At 53.0% G+C, this 17,531-nt stretch overlaps 2 long non-coding RNA genes across 3 annotated transcripts in view, besides 2 other annotated features; both read left to right on the top strand.

The window, feature by feature from the left end:
* Positions 1–17,531, top strand: part of MIR3667HG (MIR3667 host gene) — a 242,996-nt gene that overhangs the window by 70,451 nt on the left and 155,014 nt on the right. The window lies entirely within an intron of this gene.
* Positions 11,033–14,967, top strand: LOC124905144 (uncharacterized). The gene is made up of 2 exons (XR_007068149.1): positions 11,033–11,724; positions 12,509–14,967. It is a non-coding gene; the product is annotated as an uncharacterized LOC124905144 (long non-coding RNA).
* Positions 15,827–16,689: an enhancer, noted in NCBI's record as "H3K4me1 hESC enhancer chr22:49964028-49964890 (GRCh37/hg19 assembly coordinates)". NCBI's record gives its function as "activates a minimal SCP1, AML or CMV promoter by ChIP-STARR-seq in naive H9 embryonic stem cells {active_cell/tissue: H9 hESC(naive)}" and the evidence as "EXISTENCE:reporter gene assay evidence [ECO:0000049][PMID:30033119]".
* Positions 16,010–16,173: a silencer, noted in NCBI's record as "fragment chr22:49964544-49964707 (GRCh37/hg19 assembly coordinates)". NCBI's record gives its function as "represses an EF-1alpha promoter that drives an FKBP-Casp9 reporter gene in an ReSE screen in HepG2 liver carcinoma cells and phorbol 12-myristate 13-acetate-treated (for megakaryocytic differentiation) K562 erythroleukemia cells {active_cell/tissue: HepG2 | K562(+PMA)}" and the evidence as "EXISTENCE:reporter gene assay evidence [ECO:0000049][PMID:32094911]".

The following is a 17,531-nucleotide window of genomic DNA, read 5'->3' as shown; positions in this document are numbered from 1 at the left end:
CACCACTGAGGCTTGGCCCATGGCCGTGCCCCAACAGCTGGGCCACAACCCCCTGCATCACCACCCCAAACTCCGGCCTTCCCACCAGACAGTTCAACCTGGGGCCCACGAGAGCAGTGGGTGCACCTGCATTTCTGGCCCTGCCCGCGTCCCCGGGCCAGTGAGTGTTGCCTCTGGCTGGAGTGGGTGCTTCCTCCTCAGGTCTCCCATTAGCAGAGAGGACAGAGCCCAGGGCTCACCTTGCTGCCCCTGCAGCATTCAGGCACATCCTGTTCACATTAACCAATCAGCAGATCACACAGAGCAGCACAAACACCGAGAGAACCTTTCTGAGTGCAAACATGCTGACGTCACGCAGACTCATGCCACCTTCCAGTGACTCTGTGCCAAGCACGCTGATGTCATGCACTAAACACGCTGATGTCATACACTAAGCACGCTGATGTCACACAGACTCACACTGTCTCCCAGTGACTCTGTGCTAAACATGCTGATGTCATGCACTAAACACGCTGATGTCACACAGACTCACGCCGCCTCGCAGTGACTCTGTGCTGAGCACTGAGTGAATGTGGAGTCATCACATGGCTGTGCGCCCTGACACGAGAGCCTGCGTCATCTGAGGTCCTTCGAGCTGCCTGGAGAGGCCCTCCTCGGGAGGCCTGTGGTCCCCGCCTTTCCTGGCTCCGAGGTTGACAAGTCAGGGTTCCTCTTGCTTGGCTGGGCCTGAGCCTGCCCTGGCTGGAAGACGTCTTGGAGGCTGGTGGTACCAAGGAGAACAGGAGATGCTCGGCGCGTTTGTTTATTCTCCTGAATCTCCCTGCCAGCATCGACAAGGGGTCTGTGGTGGGGACACAGGCAGCGCCTGGGCCGTCTCCCCAGGCCTCTGTGCAGTGGGTGGGAAGGTCTCTGAGCTCTGTTTTCGGAGGAAAGAATTTCAGGGCGGCTGGAGAAGAAAGCAGCCCAGGGAGGCGCAGGGAAGGTTCTTTGTCTCCAGTCCAGCGAGGTTTCTTTTCTCTCCAGTGCCCGCCAGCACCCCTGGGACTCACAGCACGGAGGGTGCTTTCGCTGATGACCGGTCAGCCCCGGCCCAGGGATGGGGTCACCCTAGACTGACCGTGTGACTGTCCGGGCTGCAGCCAGGACCCAGGCTGAGAGAAAGCGCCCCTGGGCCCTGGTTTCCCCTCTCAAGGGTGTTTGCATCTCCTGCTGCTCCCTCTCACCCCTGGGCCCTGAGGTCTGCCCCACCCGCATCTGGGTCCATGCACCGAGTCCCACAGCCCTTCCTCTTCCCTGCCGGGAGAAGAACGGCTTCAATTAGATGCAGCAGAAATATTAATCCAACTTCAGCTCTCCAAGTTTCTGCCAGGTGTCTGTGATGTGTGAGTTGGAGCTGAAATGGAAGGAAACGCAGGTGGAAGGAACAGCTGTTACACCTTTCTTATTAAATGAGGAACCGTTAACATGGTTTTCTTCACAGCCAAAGAGATTAAAAATGGATGAGAGAGGAACTTGGTTTCAAATTTAAGTGGAAACAAACAAACAAACAAACAATCTTAAACCAGGAATGGCCGGGACCGCCCTATTATCAGTGAGGGGCTTAATTCATTTCCAGAACTCAGGCGCTGACCCACATGTTCAGGATGCACTGACTGTGCGCTGCTCACACATTCAGAGGGAGACGAGACCACCTTCCTTCCGGGGCTCACAATTTACTCAGAGTGAATGATTTATTTATTGATAGCGAGCAGCGGCCGGCACTGAAGCAGATGCACAATCTCATTTCGCTTGCACCATTTTGCAAGGGAGGCACCAGTGCCACCCCATTTTCGGATGAGGGAATAGCTAGCTGGTGCCACCCCATTTTCGGATGAGGGACTAGCTAGCTGGTGCCACCCCATTTTCAGATGAGGGACTAGCTAACTGCTGCCACCCCATTTTCAGATGAGGGACTAGCTAACTGCTGCCACCCCATTTTCGGATGAGGGACTAGCTAGCTGGTTCCCCAGCTCATTAGGGTCACTGTTAGGGCTTGAATTCAGGTCTGACCACAAAGCATGACAGCTGTGGCCTCTTCCTCCCCTTGGGGATGGCAGGGGCTCTCCCTGCACCCTCTGGGGTGCTTGGCAAACACTATGAGCATCCTTGCATTTTAAGAAGCTCCAGAGAGAAGCTCTAAGGTGGTACAATTTTGTGTGTTGCTAAATCCTGCTCGGAGAAAGCTGCCAATAGGGTTTCACGTTTGTAGATGTTTATCGGAGGTATTGATTGACATTTCCTCATTTTATGGGTAGGATACATGGTTTTATGTGTCCTAAGGATACTGCAAATCGATGCAGACACCGGGCTTTTGCACTGGAAGGTTCTAGTGCGTCTCCTCCGTGCCGCAGGTGAGCGGTTTCCCCGTGTTTTGATTTTCTCCTTGTTCACTTTTAGCTTGTTCCAGCTGCCAGGCTGAGGGGACACCTTACGTCCCTCCCTCCTGAGAGCCGGTTCCTCATGGCTCCTCACACTTCCTGAAGGTTTAATTGTGGATTCTCCACGTTGTGTCTCAGCCTACAAAGACCTGCAGTGGTTGTACCTTGGTTTGAATGGATCCTCATGTCACCCTAAGAGTCTCTTTCCCCATTTGGCACAGTTTGCCGTGGGTGTCATTTGACATCACACCAGGTGGCTCCGGCTTTTCTGCGCGTCGGTTTCTGCCGCGCTGAGTTGCCGCCGCTTGCTCTCTGCCCCTCAGGTTTCCTCTGTGGTTTGGGCTCTGGCTGCCTCTGCAGCAGCTCAGGATATCGGCGTGATTGACACCCACAGCGCAGGGGCCGAACCCCACCGACAGCACAGGTGCCTCCAGAGCCGGCTCCAGGCCCCAGACCAGGAACCTCACCCACATTAACGCGTGACACCCCTGCGGTTCCTCTGAGTTGTGATATGATATGGATAAACATGATCGTCATTACTGTGACTCCTGTTTTCCTTATGTGGAAATCGAGGCACAGAGAACAGGTGACTTCCCCAGGGCAAAGCGGCCATGTGGGGCCCTGACGCAGCTGCCCGGAGCCTCCACCTGGCACGTCCCCTCGCCCATGGCATCGGTGACATTTTCTGTCTGATTTCACTCAGTGGGTTCATCTTTTCTCTCTAAGTGGGAGAGTGTGCCTTTTAGTTGTATTTTGGTAATAGAAGTGCATGGTTTGGGTCTCGCCCTATTTTGTTTTCTATTTACTGTCTCCCATTTCTTCTCTTTCTTTTGGGACAGTCCCCGGGAGTCTCGGCTGTGCTGCTTGTCACCTTTAAACAGTCTGGACACTCCACTGCTTGTTACATTCAACTAAAAACTAACTTGTATTCAAGACGGTGCTGTGAGCCCTGCTGGCTTTGAGAGTGTTCTCTGCTCCAAACAGTTAGGATGCAAGATGACGTGAAGAAAGTGAGAACAGAAAATACATGTGCGCTGCAAACATCCATGACCAATGGGAAGCATGCAGCCCTCTGTGGGCTACAGCAGACAGATGCCCAGCGCCAAGCGAGGGCCAAGGTGGGGCCCAGGGTCTGGACATGGTCAGGAACCGCCCAGGAGGGGAGGGGCCGTGTCCGCCGCCACAGGGGCTGCGCCAGCTTATGCCTAAAACTAGAGCCCTGTGGAGCAATTCCACTTTCTAAAAGAACCTGAAACCTGGTGAAACTGCCCCGAGTGTGGGTTATTTGCTTTTTAAGGCTGTGCTGCTTGGGGCAGGAGAGAGGGGATGCAATGCACGGCAGGGCATGGGCAGGTGCCTGCTGTTTGCATGGCTGCAGACAGAAGGCCGGGGTATTGTCCCAGGGTCCTTCGTCCCTGGAGCTTCGAGAACCTCAGGTCAAGAGGCCACCGTGAGCCCCACCAGGCCAACCCCACTCACCTGCTCTTCTTGCTTTTCACTTCCATCGCCCGGGACCAGGGCGGCCACTTGCATTCCTGCCTCCCATTCTCCAACAGCTTCTTCTCTATCAGCTCCCCCAAGGCTTTCTCCTTAGATGCTGCCTGGAGGTAAGAAACTTGCAGCCAAGACCCTGTGCCGAGGCTGTGCTCTGCGGGGGGCTCTGCCTCTGCCCAGTGGTCCTGGAGGAGAGAGTGGCTGGCTCCCCATCTGCAGGGCCCTTTCTCCCTAAAGGGTGAACCACACCAGGGGGATTCAGCCGCAGCATGTGGAGGTGTGTTCACGGGTCAGTCAGGGAGTAGCGGGTGGGTAATATCTTGCCAGCCACATGGAGCTTGGTGTATGTCAGTGGAGGCAACACGGGCGCGTCACGTATTTTCATATCGAAGAGAGGAAGGTGCACGGCTTTTTCCAGTCTGAAACAGATCTTTTCAGACTATGCCCTGGAAGTAGGGTGCTCACTGGCTACTTTATCTCGGTGTTGCAGTAACTCTACAAGGCCATGGCCTCGGCAAAGAACACTCTTGATATATTTAGGTTTGAATTTCCATGCGCAAGTCATTTTAGGTTCTCAGTTGCTTTCTTCATGTAAAGGGAGGATTGCAAAGATGTTGTTGAAATGTATGCGGTCATTTCTGCTTTGGAGACTCCAGAAGCACTCTGAAAAGATAATGGTGATTTTTAAAACGAACTCTTTGTTGGCTGTAGAATGATGCTTCTGTTTGTGCTTCCTGTTGCCATGGATACTGCCAGGAAAAGCTCCAACTACCCCAGGGCTATGTGTCCATCTCCATTCACAAAATAGCTGCTGAAAACTCCCAGCTGGGGGCTTGCTGCCAGGACACGGTTTTCCTAGGGCAGCAGCATCTTCCTCTGCCCTTCTAAACAAAGGAAACCTGGGGGTGTGTCTGCCTGGGGGGCTCAACCCAGGTGAGAATCTGGACAGTCATCCGGCTTACACTGAATCTACCCAGGAATGAGGCCTAGAAGGGGCTCCATGAATAAGTACCTACCTTCTCCTACTGCCGTACTTTGTCTGCATGTAATTCTGCATGTGTCTGTTGGATGGATGACTGGATGACTGGATGAATGGGTAGATGGATGGGTGGGTGGAGGATGGATAGATGGAGGGATGGGTTTATGGGTGTATGAAAGGATGGATAAATGAATGGGTGGATGGATGAATGGGTGGATGGATGGACAGATGAATAATGGATTCATGGATAGATGGAGTGATGAATGAAGGAAGGACGGATGGGTGAATGGGTGTATGGATGGATGGGTAGATGGGTAGATGGAGGAAAGGATGGATGGGTGAATAAATGGATGAGTAGATGGGTGGATGGAGAGATTAAGGGATGGAGGGATGAGTAGGTGGACGGATGGATGGGTAGATGGGTAGATGGAGGAAAGGATGGATGGGTGAATAAATGGATGGGTAGATGGGTGGATGGAGAGATTAAAGGATGGAGGGATGAGTGGGTGGATGAATGGATGGATAGTTGGGTGGGTGGATGAATAGATGAGTGGGTGGATGAATGTATGTATGTATGGATGGATAGGTGGATGGATGGATGGGTGGGTGGTTGGATGAATAGTGAATTGATGGATGGGTGGATAAATTGGTGGATGACCCACATAGTTTTGGGCTGGAAAACCAAAGCATATACTGAGATCTCCCCCTCTGCCTGCAGTGAGTTTTCTCTTGGAATTCCATCTTGCCCCCATGCCAATCCTAAAGTGTATTTCTGTGTTGCATGTTGCTTGCTGTGCAGACACTATCCCCTAGTAAGGAAGAGGAAGGCAGAGCCAGCCTTCATCCCATAAGTCAGCATTGACTTTCAAAAGTAAGATTTTTTAGTCAAAGCAGGTACAGCAGTCTGAAATCCATAGTGCTTTTGATTTGCCAAGGCCAATCATTGGAAGGAGATAATTTCTTTTTAAGTTATCCAAAAGTTTGCTTACAATGTAAGAATAGCTTCTCGATCCTCCTTATCCTCCCAGGCAAGCCCATGGAATTTTCGGAAAAGGGAGAGTCATCAGACGGGAGAGGACTGGGTGCTGGTGAGCATCCTGGAAAGTGCCCAGCACAACTTATGCCTGGCTGAGCGCCTGTGTGTGTGTGCCTGTATGTGTGTGTGCATGTTGTGTGTATGTGTGATGTGTGTGGTGTTTGAGTATATGATGTGGTGCGTGTTGTGTGTATGGTGTGTGTGTGCTATATGGTGTATGTGCGATGTGTGTGTGGTCTTTGAGTGTATGGTGTGGTATGTGTGGGGGAGTGTGGTCTGTATGCTATGTGTGTGGTATGAGTGTGTTGTGTGTGTATGGTGTGTATGTGGTGTTTGTGTATATGGTGTAGTGTGTGTGGGAGGGGAGTGTGGTATGTGTGGTGTGTGTGGTATGAGTGTGATGTGTGTGTGGTGTTCAAGGACATGGTGGGGTGTGTGGTGTGTTGGGGTGTGTGTGATGTGTATGCTGTTTGTGTGGTATGAGTGTTGTGTATGTGTGTGGTGTATGTGTGATGTGTGTGGTGTTTGAGTATATGGTGTGTGTGTGTGTGGGGGTGTGGTGTGTGTATGATAGGAGTGTGTTGTGTGTGTGTGTGCTGTGTATGGTGTATGTGTATGTGATAAGTGTGTGGTGTTTGAGTATATGGTGTGGGGTGTGTGAGAGGAGGTGTGTGGTGTGTTTATGGTAGGAGTGTGTTGTGTGTGTGTGTGTGTGCTGTGTAGGGTGTATGTGTATGTGGTGTGTGTGGTGTTTGAGTATGTGGTGTGGGGTGTGTGTGTGGGTGTGTGGTGTGGGTATGGTGTATGTGTGGTATGAATGTGTTGTGTGATGTGTTTGTAATCTCCCAGTTAGGCTTGACTATCTAGGGAAAAACATAAAGGCTGACATATTGTAGCTAAGGAGGATTTAACAGGAATTCAAGGCTGGTTCAACATTGATTAATTGACCAGTGTAACTTACCATACCGAAAAGCATATGATCATCTCAATTCATAAAGAAAATGCATTCGAGAAAATTTGATATTCATTTATAATTAAAAAAAAACCCCAAACACTCAGAAAAATAGGAATAGAAGGAAACTTCCTTAAACTAATAAAGGCCGTGGTGTTAGTCTGCTCAGACTGACAGAAGCCACAGATTGGGTGGATTAAACAACAGAAATTTTCTCACAATTCTGGAGGCTGTAAGCCAAGATCAAGGCTCCAGTACAAGGCTGGTTTCTGCTGAGGGCCCTCCTCCTGGCTTGTAGGTGGCTGTCTTCTTCTTCTTCTTCTTCTTCTTCTTTTTTTTTTTTTTTTTTTTTTTGAGAAAGAGTCTCGCTCTATCACCAGGCTGGAGTGCAGTGGTGCAATCTTGGCTCACTGCAACCTCTGCCTCCCAGGTTCAAGCGATTCTCCTGCCTCAGCCTCCCAAGTAGCTGGGACTACAGGCACGCACCACTATGCTTGGCTAATTTTTGTGTTTTTTAGTACAGATGGAGTTTCACCATGTTGGCCAGGCTGGTCTCAAACTCCTGACCTCGTGATCCACCAGTCTTGGCCTCCCAAAGTGCTGGGGTTACAGGTGTGCACCACTGCGCCTGGCCAAGTGGCTGTCTTCTTCATGTGTCTTCACGTGTTCTTTCCTTTGTGTGTGTGTGTGTGTGTGTGTGTGTGTGTGTGTGTGTGTAGAAAGAGAGAGAGAGAGAAAGTCTTTTTTGCCTCTCCCTCTTCTTATAAGGACGCCAGTCCTATTAGATCAGGGCCCCACCCTTACAACCTCATGTAACCTTAATACAGTAATATTCAGGGTTAGGGTTTCAATATGTGGATTTTGGGGGGACATAATTCAGCCTGTAACAGGATTTATAAAAAATCTTTGGTTATCATGGTCTACAACGGTGAGAGAATAAATGCTTATCTTAGAGATAGAAAACGAGGCAAGGATGTACCAGATAGGGCTTGGCTCAGTGTCCCCACCCAAATCTCATGTTGAATTGGAATCTCCAATGCTGGGGGAGGGACTGGGTGGGAGGTGATTGGATCATGGGGGCGGATTTCCCCCTTCTGTTCTCGTGACAGTGAGTGAGTTCTCATGAGATCTGATGATTTAAACGTTTGAGGCTCTCCCTGCTTCGATATTTCTCTCTTGCCAACAAATGAAGATGTGCTCACTTCTCTTTGCCTCTGCCATGATTTCTCAGGTAGTTCTTTACAGCAGTGTGAGAATGAACTAGTATATACCACAAGTATCCTACATCCTGCTGGAAATTTTAGCAGTGAAAAATGTAATGGAAAGAAATAAAAAGATCTATATTTTGGAAAGGAAGGAACAAAATTATCTCTATTCTCAGAAATAACTGGTCTTAGACAAATAAGTTCATTAAGAAAGATTGCAAAATACAAAGTCAGTTTATAAAAATGACTTGTACATCTGTATACCAGCAATGCATAATTGCAAGTCAAAAATGTAAAAATACACGACTATTTACAATAAACTAAAAGAGGGGTACGTATGTCTAAATCTCACAAAATACATGTAGGATCTGTAAGGTGAAAACTATCAAACACTGGTGAAAAAATTAAGAAGACATCAGTATGTGAAGAAGTGAGCCATGTTAATGAGTTAGAAGATCGATCCTGTGAAAATGTTGGCCTCCTGAAACTTATCTGTCGTTTAACACAATCCCAGTTAAAATTTCAGTTATTGTAGAAATCAGTGAGTGGATTGTAACGTAATGTTACAACGTAACAAATGTAATGTAACAATGTAATATAATGTAAATGTAAACGTAAAGGCGTGAGAACTCCAACAGTCAATTTTGTGAAGGAGAGCTACTGGGAGAGTCAAATCACCTGTTTTCGGACTTACTCTAAAACTACAATAAGAAATGTAGTGGTATTGGTAAAAGAATAGAGACACAGATCGATTGATTAGAGCAGAGAGTCCATATATAGGCCCATACATGGATGGTCAATTGTTTTATGCAAAGGTACAAGAGCAATTCAAGGAAAAAAGGACGGCGTTTTCTGCAGTGATGCTGATGGCACTGAATTCCGTAGGCAAAAAAAAGAACCTGGATCCATACCTTGCACCCCTACAAAAATCAGCTCGAGAGGTTCGTGTTGACTGTATTTGTTCCCAAGTTGGTCTTGAGGCCCCTCTCTGGAGAGCGGCTATAAACTCTAGTCCTGCCCTGGTGGGGCCCAGGGTGGGGGGCAGTGGGTGTCTACGGGCTGTCTCTCAGGGGATTCTTCTTTATCTTTGGTAGCAGAAGGCCTGATACTCAAGTGCCCAACCTGTGACCAGATGTCCCTCTCTCAGGACACTTGTTTATCCTGCAGATGCCCTGGGGGCTCCTGTTGGACCTGTGTCCAGTTTATTCCCACAAGACTAGACAGCCACTCCCTGGGAGAGCGCTGGCTGGGAGGAGGGTTCAGTGGTGTCAGTCAGGTGAGGCACGTGGGAGCCGGCGCAGCATAGAACAGCACGTGGAATCACAGAGGCCGTGCGTGACTCACAGAGCCAGAGAGGAGAGGGCAGCATGGCCCACAGGGCAGGGGTGTGGGGAGCCGTCAGAGCCGTTGGGACCCATTCAGCCAGGGCGCGGGGAGAGAGGAACTGTGGGCCAAGGCCTTTGCTGGGGCCTGGGGCGTTACCCAGGCTGTGGGGAGAGAGGGACTGTGGGCCAAGGCCTTTGCTGGGGCCTGGGGCGTTATCCAGGCAGGTTCCTGCCAGGAGTTCTATCTGGTGCCTTTGGAGCAGGCAGGCACAGGCTCCGTGGGGGCACGCTGGGACTGAGGGGTCACTGTGATGTCTGTGCAGGCTCCGTGGGGGCACGCTGGGACTGAGGGGTCACTGTGACGTCTGTGCAGGCTCCGTGGGTGTAGGGGTGAGGAGTGAGTCAAGTGGGCTGTGACCAGCTGTCCCATAGGGAGTTGGACACCAGGGCCAGGGTCACAGTCTGCAAAACATTTAGGATCCTAAACATAAGAGAAAAAGACAAGCAGACCAGCAGAAAAACCGGCAGAAAAGGAGCGACGGGGAGTTTGACAGAACAGGAACCATGCCTGGGCTCCTGGGGGTGCGTGTGAGCAGGAACCAGGGTCCTGGGGGGACGTGCGAGCAGACCCTCAGCTCCTGAGTTGACCAGGGCAGTGCGGGGTCAGCCTGCGAGGAAACATCGTCCCACTGTAGGCCCGGCGGACACTCAGCAAGGAGGACAGCTCTGCGCTGCCCATGGGACAGGAGTGGCTGCAGCCACAGGGGGAAACACGTTGTCATCAGCTGGTGAAATGAGGGGTCCGAAGACCCCCCGAGTCCTGGAGATGTGCGTTTGGCGACTTGGAGGTCTGAGCGGGAAGGTGTGTGCGGGGCTGGTCTTGGCAGCACCATTCGTGACAGCAGATGCTGGACACAGCCTTGGTGTCCTGTGACCAGAAAATAAGCATGAGATCATTGTGTGGCCACACCACGCAATGGCACTGAGTAAACTCGGCTGTGTAGACAGACGTGGCCGGGGCTCAGGGACTTGTGGCTGGGTGGAGAGAGGAGTGTGCAGTGTGCACATGGTTTAGACGGCATTCACAGACTCAGACACCTGAAGTCAACGGCTTGGGGTACGCACACGTGTGCTGGGTGATGCCCTGCAGCTCTGGTTTGGGGTTAACGTGGGTGGGAGTGAGGGTGCCTGTCAGAGGACGGGGAGAGGGGCTTCGGAGACGTGGAGGCAGGCTGTGGGGGAGCCGCCTGTGCGAGTCTCCACTCGTCACAGTTGTATCAAGATCATTCTTTGAAGGGCCTCTGTCCTGCTCCCCCCTGGGGCTCCCACAGGTGGCCCCTCAACCTGGGGCTGTGCCGTGAGTGTGATCCTGTGCCCTCCTCATGCAGGGGAAAGACATGCTTTCTGGAGCCTTTGGATAGAAAAGATGAGACCCAGGTAGGGTCTGATGAAGTGGAGCAGAGATCTTTGATGGCACATGTGAACAGCTGCGTTTCTGCCATGCGCAGCGGGGTGACACCAATAGCACGCGGCAATGAAACCGACTCCAAATGTTCCTTTTGTTTCAAGCTCTAAGGAAATTACAGACCTAAAAGTACAGTTACATTTTACCAAAACAACCCCAATGCGACCCTAGCTGTGCTCCCGGGGCACGTGGCGCTGCGTGGGGCGGGATGGAGGGAGGCTGTGGCCGGAGGCTTCAGGGTCCTCACTGTGCTGCCTGTCCTCGGGATGTCCCGGGGGCGAGTCCCCAACAGGCCTGGTCCTGGGGAAAGAGCGCAGCCCTCAGCACAGTCCTTGCTGCCTGGACAGGAGCGGGGCCGGGGATGCTTCCCCGTGACAGGAGGGAGAAGGGATGAGCAACAAACCTGAAGGCTGCGTCTCACCCCAGACGTGGATTGTTTGAACCCGGAGATGAGCGAGTTAGCCCGGAAACGACTAAGCCAACATTTCAGGAGTTTCCTTTTCCTTGGGCCACCAAGTGTGCAGCCTGAGAACCGGATCTGTTGCCTGCCCTGGGCACAAGGGGAGGCGCCTCCTGGCTCTTCCCAGGATGACCTTCCGGGCACAAGGGGAGGCGCCTCCCGGCTCTTCCCAGGATGACCTTCCGGGAACAAGGGGAGGCGCCTCCAGGCTCTTCCCAGGACGACCTTCCGGGAATAAGGGGAGGCGCCTCCCGGCTCTTCCCAGGATGACCTTCCGGGAACAAGGGGAGGCGCCTCCCGGCTCTTCCCAGAACGACCTTCCAGGCCTCTGGGATGAGCGTGTCCCCAGAATCTGCTCTGTTCACCTTCATCCAGGCCTTTGCCTCTGAAGGTGAGTCCGAGTCCCCCTTTACACCACAGCCTGGCTGAGCGGAGTCTTGGTGCCCCTGGCAGCTGTTCATCCCCATCACTGGCCAACTCCCTCCCAGGGCACTCCCTTCTGCCCTGATCCCATGACAGTCCTTGACGTGACTCCGAGGCACTGCCTGAGGCTCCATTTCACAGCAATCTTGGGCCCTGCCACGCAGGCTGCAGCCGTGGTCAGCTGGGTGTCCTGGACCCCTGGCACGGGCCATTGCTGTCCTGGCTGCGGGGAGATGAGCCCGCAGCAGAAAGTTTGGGAGAGTTTCATTTGCACTGGTCACCCTGCGTGGGCAGCAGACCCACGGGGCAGGCTGGCCACTTCCTGTGGTCTGGGGAGACACACTCACCCCACACATTCCCTGGCTGATGGCCTCACAGAGCCCGACCCCAGACCTGTGCGCGAAGTGTCCTCTTGGTCACATCCATCGATCACCTTGCCTGATTCCGCTGTTCCGGTGAAAGAGCCTTCTAAATCTGGATGCCCCGGTACTAATTATAGCACAGATTGCGTGGGGAATTCGGCGGCCTGCACTGTGGCAATCCAGATTAAGCAATTAACCTTGATGTCACTGTAATTATTAAGATGCGTTAGCAAAATGAACTAATTTCCCCACAGGATGTTGAACCGAAATCAACTTTCACTCTTTAAGATGCCAAAATAGGAAATGTTAATGGAAAATTACGTGCGAATGTTTAATAAATCTCCCAGGCCCGTGGCTCCTTGTGAGTCTGGGCTGTGGCCTGGTTTTCAGGTGCTCACAGGTGACGACTGAGTGGCTGGGGCAGGCACCCATGTCGGGACGGGATGTCGCACCTGTGGACTCCAGGGGCCAGGAAGAGGATCCTTCAGCGACCTGCCCGGGAGCCTGGAAGCTTCCACAGGGCAGGAGGGTGTGTTCTGCAAACTGTACCGTGCAACTGTGAGGGCAGCTGCTGCCTGGCCCCCCGCAGGCCCCGAGGCTCCCGTGCTCCCCTTGCTCCGTCCATATCTTCCTGGCTTCCCTCCCACAGGCTCAAGGGCAAGAGTGTGCACCATGTGGACACCGTGTCCACCCGCTGGCCGTGGGTGCTCCGGCGTCTGGGGAGCGTCTCGGGTGCTCCGGGAGCCATCACTCTCCAGTTTTCTCTGCAAAGGTCCATGATGATGTTGTGGCTGAGCTTAGAAAGAGACTTTTTTTTATCTGCCCAAAATGCTTGGACGTTTTCTGTCCCCTTCACTTCACTCCTGGAAAAGACAAGGCTCAGGACAATCTGTGGGTGTCTCTCTTCTTCTGAAGCCAAGAGCCACTTTTGGGTTTTTTTGTTCGTTTGGATGGAGTTTCGTTTTGTCGCCCAGGCTGGAGTGCAGTGGCATGATCTTAGCTCACTGCAACCTCCACCTCCCAGGTTCAAGTGATTCTTCTGCCTCAGCCTCCTGAGTAGCTGGGATTACAGGCATGTGAGACCACGCCCGGCTAATTTTTTTTTTGTTTGTAGAGATGAGGTCTCCCTATGTTGCCCAGGCTGGTCTAGAACTTCTGGTCTCAAGCAATCTGCCCGCCTCGGCCTCCTAAAGTGCTAGGATTATAGGTGTGAGCCATCACGCCAGGTCAAGAGCCACTTTCTAAAGTAACCTTTGGACATGCTGCCCCCCCCTACCCAGGCCCTGGGTCCCCTCCCAGCTCCTGGGGCTCCTCCACCTTACAGGGCTCTCCCGAGGAGGCCTGGCCCACCCACCCCACTCTCTGCATGGATGGGCAGAGGCTCTCTCCCTGCCCACTCTGGGCCTTGCTGACACCTGGGCCTTGCCTCCATGTCCCAGGTGAGCCTGGCCTCTCTCTCCGGCTTTCAGAATCACACACTAGCAGGTCCCAAGCTAGCGGCACAGAGCTCTTCCTTCTGCCTCAACACCACCCACCCTTCTCAGCAGAAGGCCCAGCACATCCTGCCCCTGCTCCTCCCACCGGGCTCCAGAGAGAGCTGCCCCGTGATCCATGCACACACCAGTGCACAGGGGTCCACACCGCCAGGCGACAGCACGCTGGGTGCAGTGTCTGCTTGCTCTGCCTCCTGCCTCAGGACCTGGGCCCCTCAGACACCCAACTGCTCCCTCCCGGAGGCTCGAAAGCCAGCAAAGGAAGGGATAACCATCATTTATTCATCTATCCATCCATCCATCCATCCATCCATCCATCCATCCATCCATCCATCCATGCATCCATGCATCCATCCATCCAATCCATCCATTCATCCATCCATCCATCCATCCACCCACCCAGCCACCCATTCACCCATCTGTCCATCCATCCATCCATCCATCCATCCACCCATCCACCCACCCATTCACCCACCCATTCACCCAACCATCCATCCATCCATCCATCCACCCACCCACCCATTCAACCATCCATCCATCCACCCACCCATTCACCCACCCATCCATCCACCCATCCATCCATCCATCCACCCACCCACCCAATCAACCATCCATCCATCCATCTTTCCATCCATCTATGTATATTTATGTATTTTAAGGAATTTCCTCATACAATTGTGGAGTCTGAAATCTGCAAGGCAGGTGGCAGCCTGGAGACCTAAGGAGAGCTGCAGTTGGAGTCCCAGGGCCTCTGCTAGCAGAATTCCTTCTTGCTTGGGGAGGTCCATCTTGGTTTTCTTAAGACCTTCAACTGATTGAATGAGGCCCACCTGCATTTTGGAGAGCCACCTGCTTCCCCAAAGTCCACTGATTGAAATGTTACTCTCAGCCAAAAAGCACCCTCCCAGAAACATGAGAACCAGAATTAGTGCTTGACCAAATATCTGGGCACTGTGGCCCAGCCAAGTTGACACAATTACCCATCACAATGCTGGTGCCAGGGAAGGGAAGGAAAAGCTCTTCCCTGTGAGCTGGTGACCTGGGGTCCTGGGCTGGGATAGCTCAACAGGAAGTAAATGTCCCTCTCCAGAGACAGCCCCTCCTGTGTCTACAGATGTCCTGATGTAACATGTCTTTTAAAATGAGGGTTTGTTCATGAAATTTTTTTCTTAACCAATAAAATGGATTAAGTAGAATGCATAGTTTAAATGTTTAGTTCTTTAGTTATGGGTAGGGTTGAATCTTTCTGTACCTTATCAGCCACTTGTATTTCTTTTTTACTTTGTTGCCTATTCATATTGCTTTCCCAGTTTTCATGGGCACAACATTATTTAATAAATACATTTTATAAATTAAGAATTAAAAATTACTTCCATTCCCCACCCCCCAAGTAAGGCTGTACACTAAAGAAAAAGTGAAGAATTGCAGAAAATCAGCACATGCTTTCGGCTGTAGCTGGTGGAGTCTGATTTTCAGTGGTTTGTGCCACTAGGGTATGTATTGTCTTCATGGTGGGATTTTAGGGGATGGGTGGTCCCAGCATTGGTTGAGGGCTCAAAGATGCCCCTGGGACACAGACTGTGTCCCTCCTGTGTGACTGCGCTCAGCTTGCGGCCTGAGTCCCGCCCCACTCACCTCTGGGCACTCATCCCCACATGACAGCAGTATCGAGGGCAGGAAGGGCCGGCGGTGGGGAACAGGCCTTAAATGTCTTTGATTCTCCTGGCCTGAGTTTCATCTGGGATGACCCAGGGAGGTTCCAGAATGCTCTCCTGGGTCTCCAAGAAGAGCCACTGGGGCTACAGCTCTGGATCAATCGTGAAACTGGCCTCCATCGGAAGGCCTGGCGCCTCTGATTCACACGGGCTTCCCTGTTCCCCTGACCTCAGCCACCTGCCTTGGGGTCCCCAGTGGAGCCCAGCGCTTGCCCGCAGGGTTAGGCTTACGTGGGAGGCAGATTGTGAACCTTTGCACCTGTGAAAACAAGCTGCCTGCGCGTCGGGCACACTCCAGGGCCTGCAGTTTGCGTTTCTAAGTCCCTTCCTGTCAGGGTCTGCACCATCCACCCTCCTGCTTTTTAAAAACCCTGCTTTCAGCCAGGCGCGGTGGCTCACGCCTGTAATCATAGCACTTTGGGAGGCCGAGGCAGGCGGATCACGAGGTCAGGAGATTGAGACCATCCTGGCTAACACGGTGAAACCCTGTCTCTACTAAAAATACAAAAAAAAAAAAAAAATTAGGTATGGTGGTGGGCGCCTGTAGTCCCAGCTACTGGGGAGGCTGAGGCAGGAGAATGGCTTGAACCCGGGAGGTGGAGCTTGCCGTGAGCCGAGATTGTGCCACTGCACTCCAGCCTGGGTGACAGAGCAAGACTCCGTCTCAAAAAAAAAAAAAAATGTAGAGGTGAAAACCCTGCTTTCGCATCGAGGAGGCGTTCTGGGAACTAGTGGCTCCACGGCGGGTCTTGGGCCAGAGCCCGGGGTGTGTGAAGTCCCGAGTCACTTTTCCTTTGCCACCAGCAACTGAAGAAAGAGCAGTCCTGACCGTTCAGATTTGAGAACCCACGTCCGTGTTCGCTGCTCAGCTCCCTGGGTCTGTTGGAAAGGGTTAACAAGCTCAAGTAGCGGGTTTTGAAATCACCGTCATCATGGTAACTGTCAGTGAACTGCAGATGTCACTGCATTCAGCATGGGTGCCTGCGGGACATGGAGGGAAGGGGCCGGCTCTTTGCGGCTTCCATAGACGCTTGGGTGAGGCAGGCAGGTAGGAGGGTGGCCTGTGAGGTGTGAGGGGATGAGGGTCTCTGCTGCGGGAAGTCCTCCTGGTCACAGGGCTCAAGTGCTTGCAGGAAGCCAGAGGCTGGTGGGGGGGGTGGTGGCCATGGGGGTGTGGGGGCCAGTCAGGCCAAGCAGAACTTGGAATTCCTGCCTTAGTGACCTTATTCCCCATTTCAAGATGTCATTCCAAGGCCTGCAACTCCACCATGCTGGGGCTTCCCAAAGGCGGCTGACATGTGCATTTGGAGGAAGCTCTCCGAGCAGCAGGGAGACAGAACATCTCGGCCCACGTACCCTTGCAGAGAGAGGTTTGGCTGTCCTGCCTCTGCTCTGGGCCTCATGGTTACACTGAGCCAAGCCCAGTTTTCAGCAGCCACCAGGAGAGAGGGTCACCCTGCGCTGCTCCCCAGAGTCAGGGGTGCTCGGAGAGGCTGCACGAGTGAGGGGTCCCTTGTGGGAGCTTAGGAAATGCAGGGGATGTGGCCCTCAGGTGTGCTCAGTAAGCACCTGATGTCCCTGACTCCCCTTGGAAAATTGCACGATCGGCGTTGGGGTGTAGCCACAGAGGAGGTTTTCAAACAGCATCTCCCGGAAACGTGGTGGTGTGGGGAGCCCTGAGCGGCTGCATGGGGGACCTGGGGGCTAAGGGGCAGGGCTGGGTGCCTCGTCCCCTGCAGAGCAGCCCTGGAGGGATGCCTCGCTGCGGCTGTGATGCCGCTTCCTACACCAAACGCGTTTCTGCTGCTCCCTGCGGATGGAGTCTGAGGCCCTCTTGCCGTCTTTCCAGGACCCCGGGCACTCGGGCCTGCAAGGCTGATTCCTGGCCCCCTGCCTGCTCTGCCTGCTCTGCCTGTTCTGAGCGGGGCCGCTGGGCCAGGTGCACAGCACGCGTTTGCGTTCACGCTGTTCCCGCGCGTCAGAAACCTCCAGCCTGCAGTCCTGGCAGATCGTCCTGGGTGGGCCTGACCCCATCAGGTGAAAACACTTATGAGCAGGGAGTGCCCTGGAGACGCTTCCTTCCCCTGCCAGCCTGGAAGAGGCCGACAGCCATGCCGTGGGGAGGGAGGGCCTCCGGAAGCCAGGGCCTTGGTCCTGTAGCCACAGGGAACCAAATTCCGCCAGTGCTCCGAGCGAGCTTCCGAG

This window comes from Homo sapiens, chromosome 22 (assembly GCF_000001405.40).
Source record: "Homo sapiens chromosome 22, GRCh38.p14 Primary Assembly".
Taxonomy (NCBI): domain Eukaryota; kingdom Metazoa; phylum Chordata; class Mammalia; order Primates; family Hominidae; genus Homo; species Homo sapiens.
Note: the sequence above shows the minus strand (reverse complement) of the source record. Positions and strands in the feature narration are given on the sequence as shown.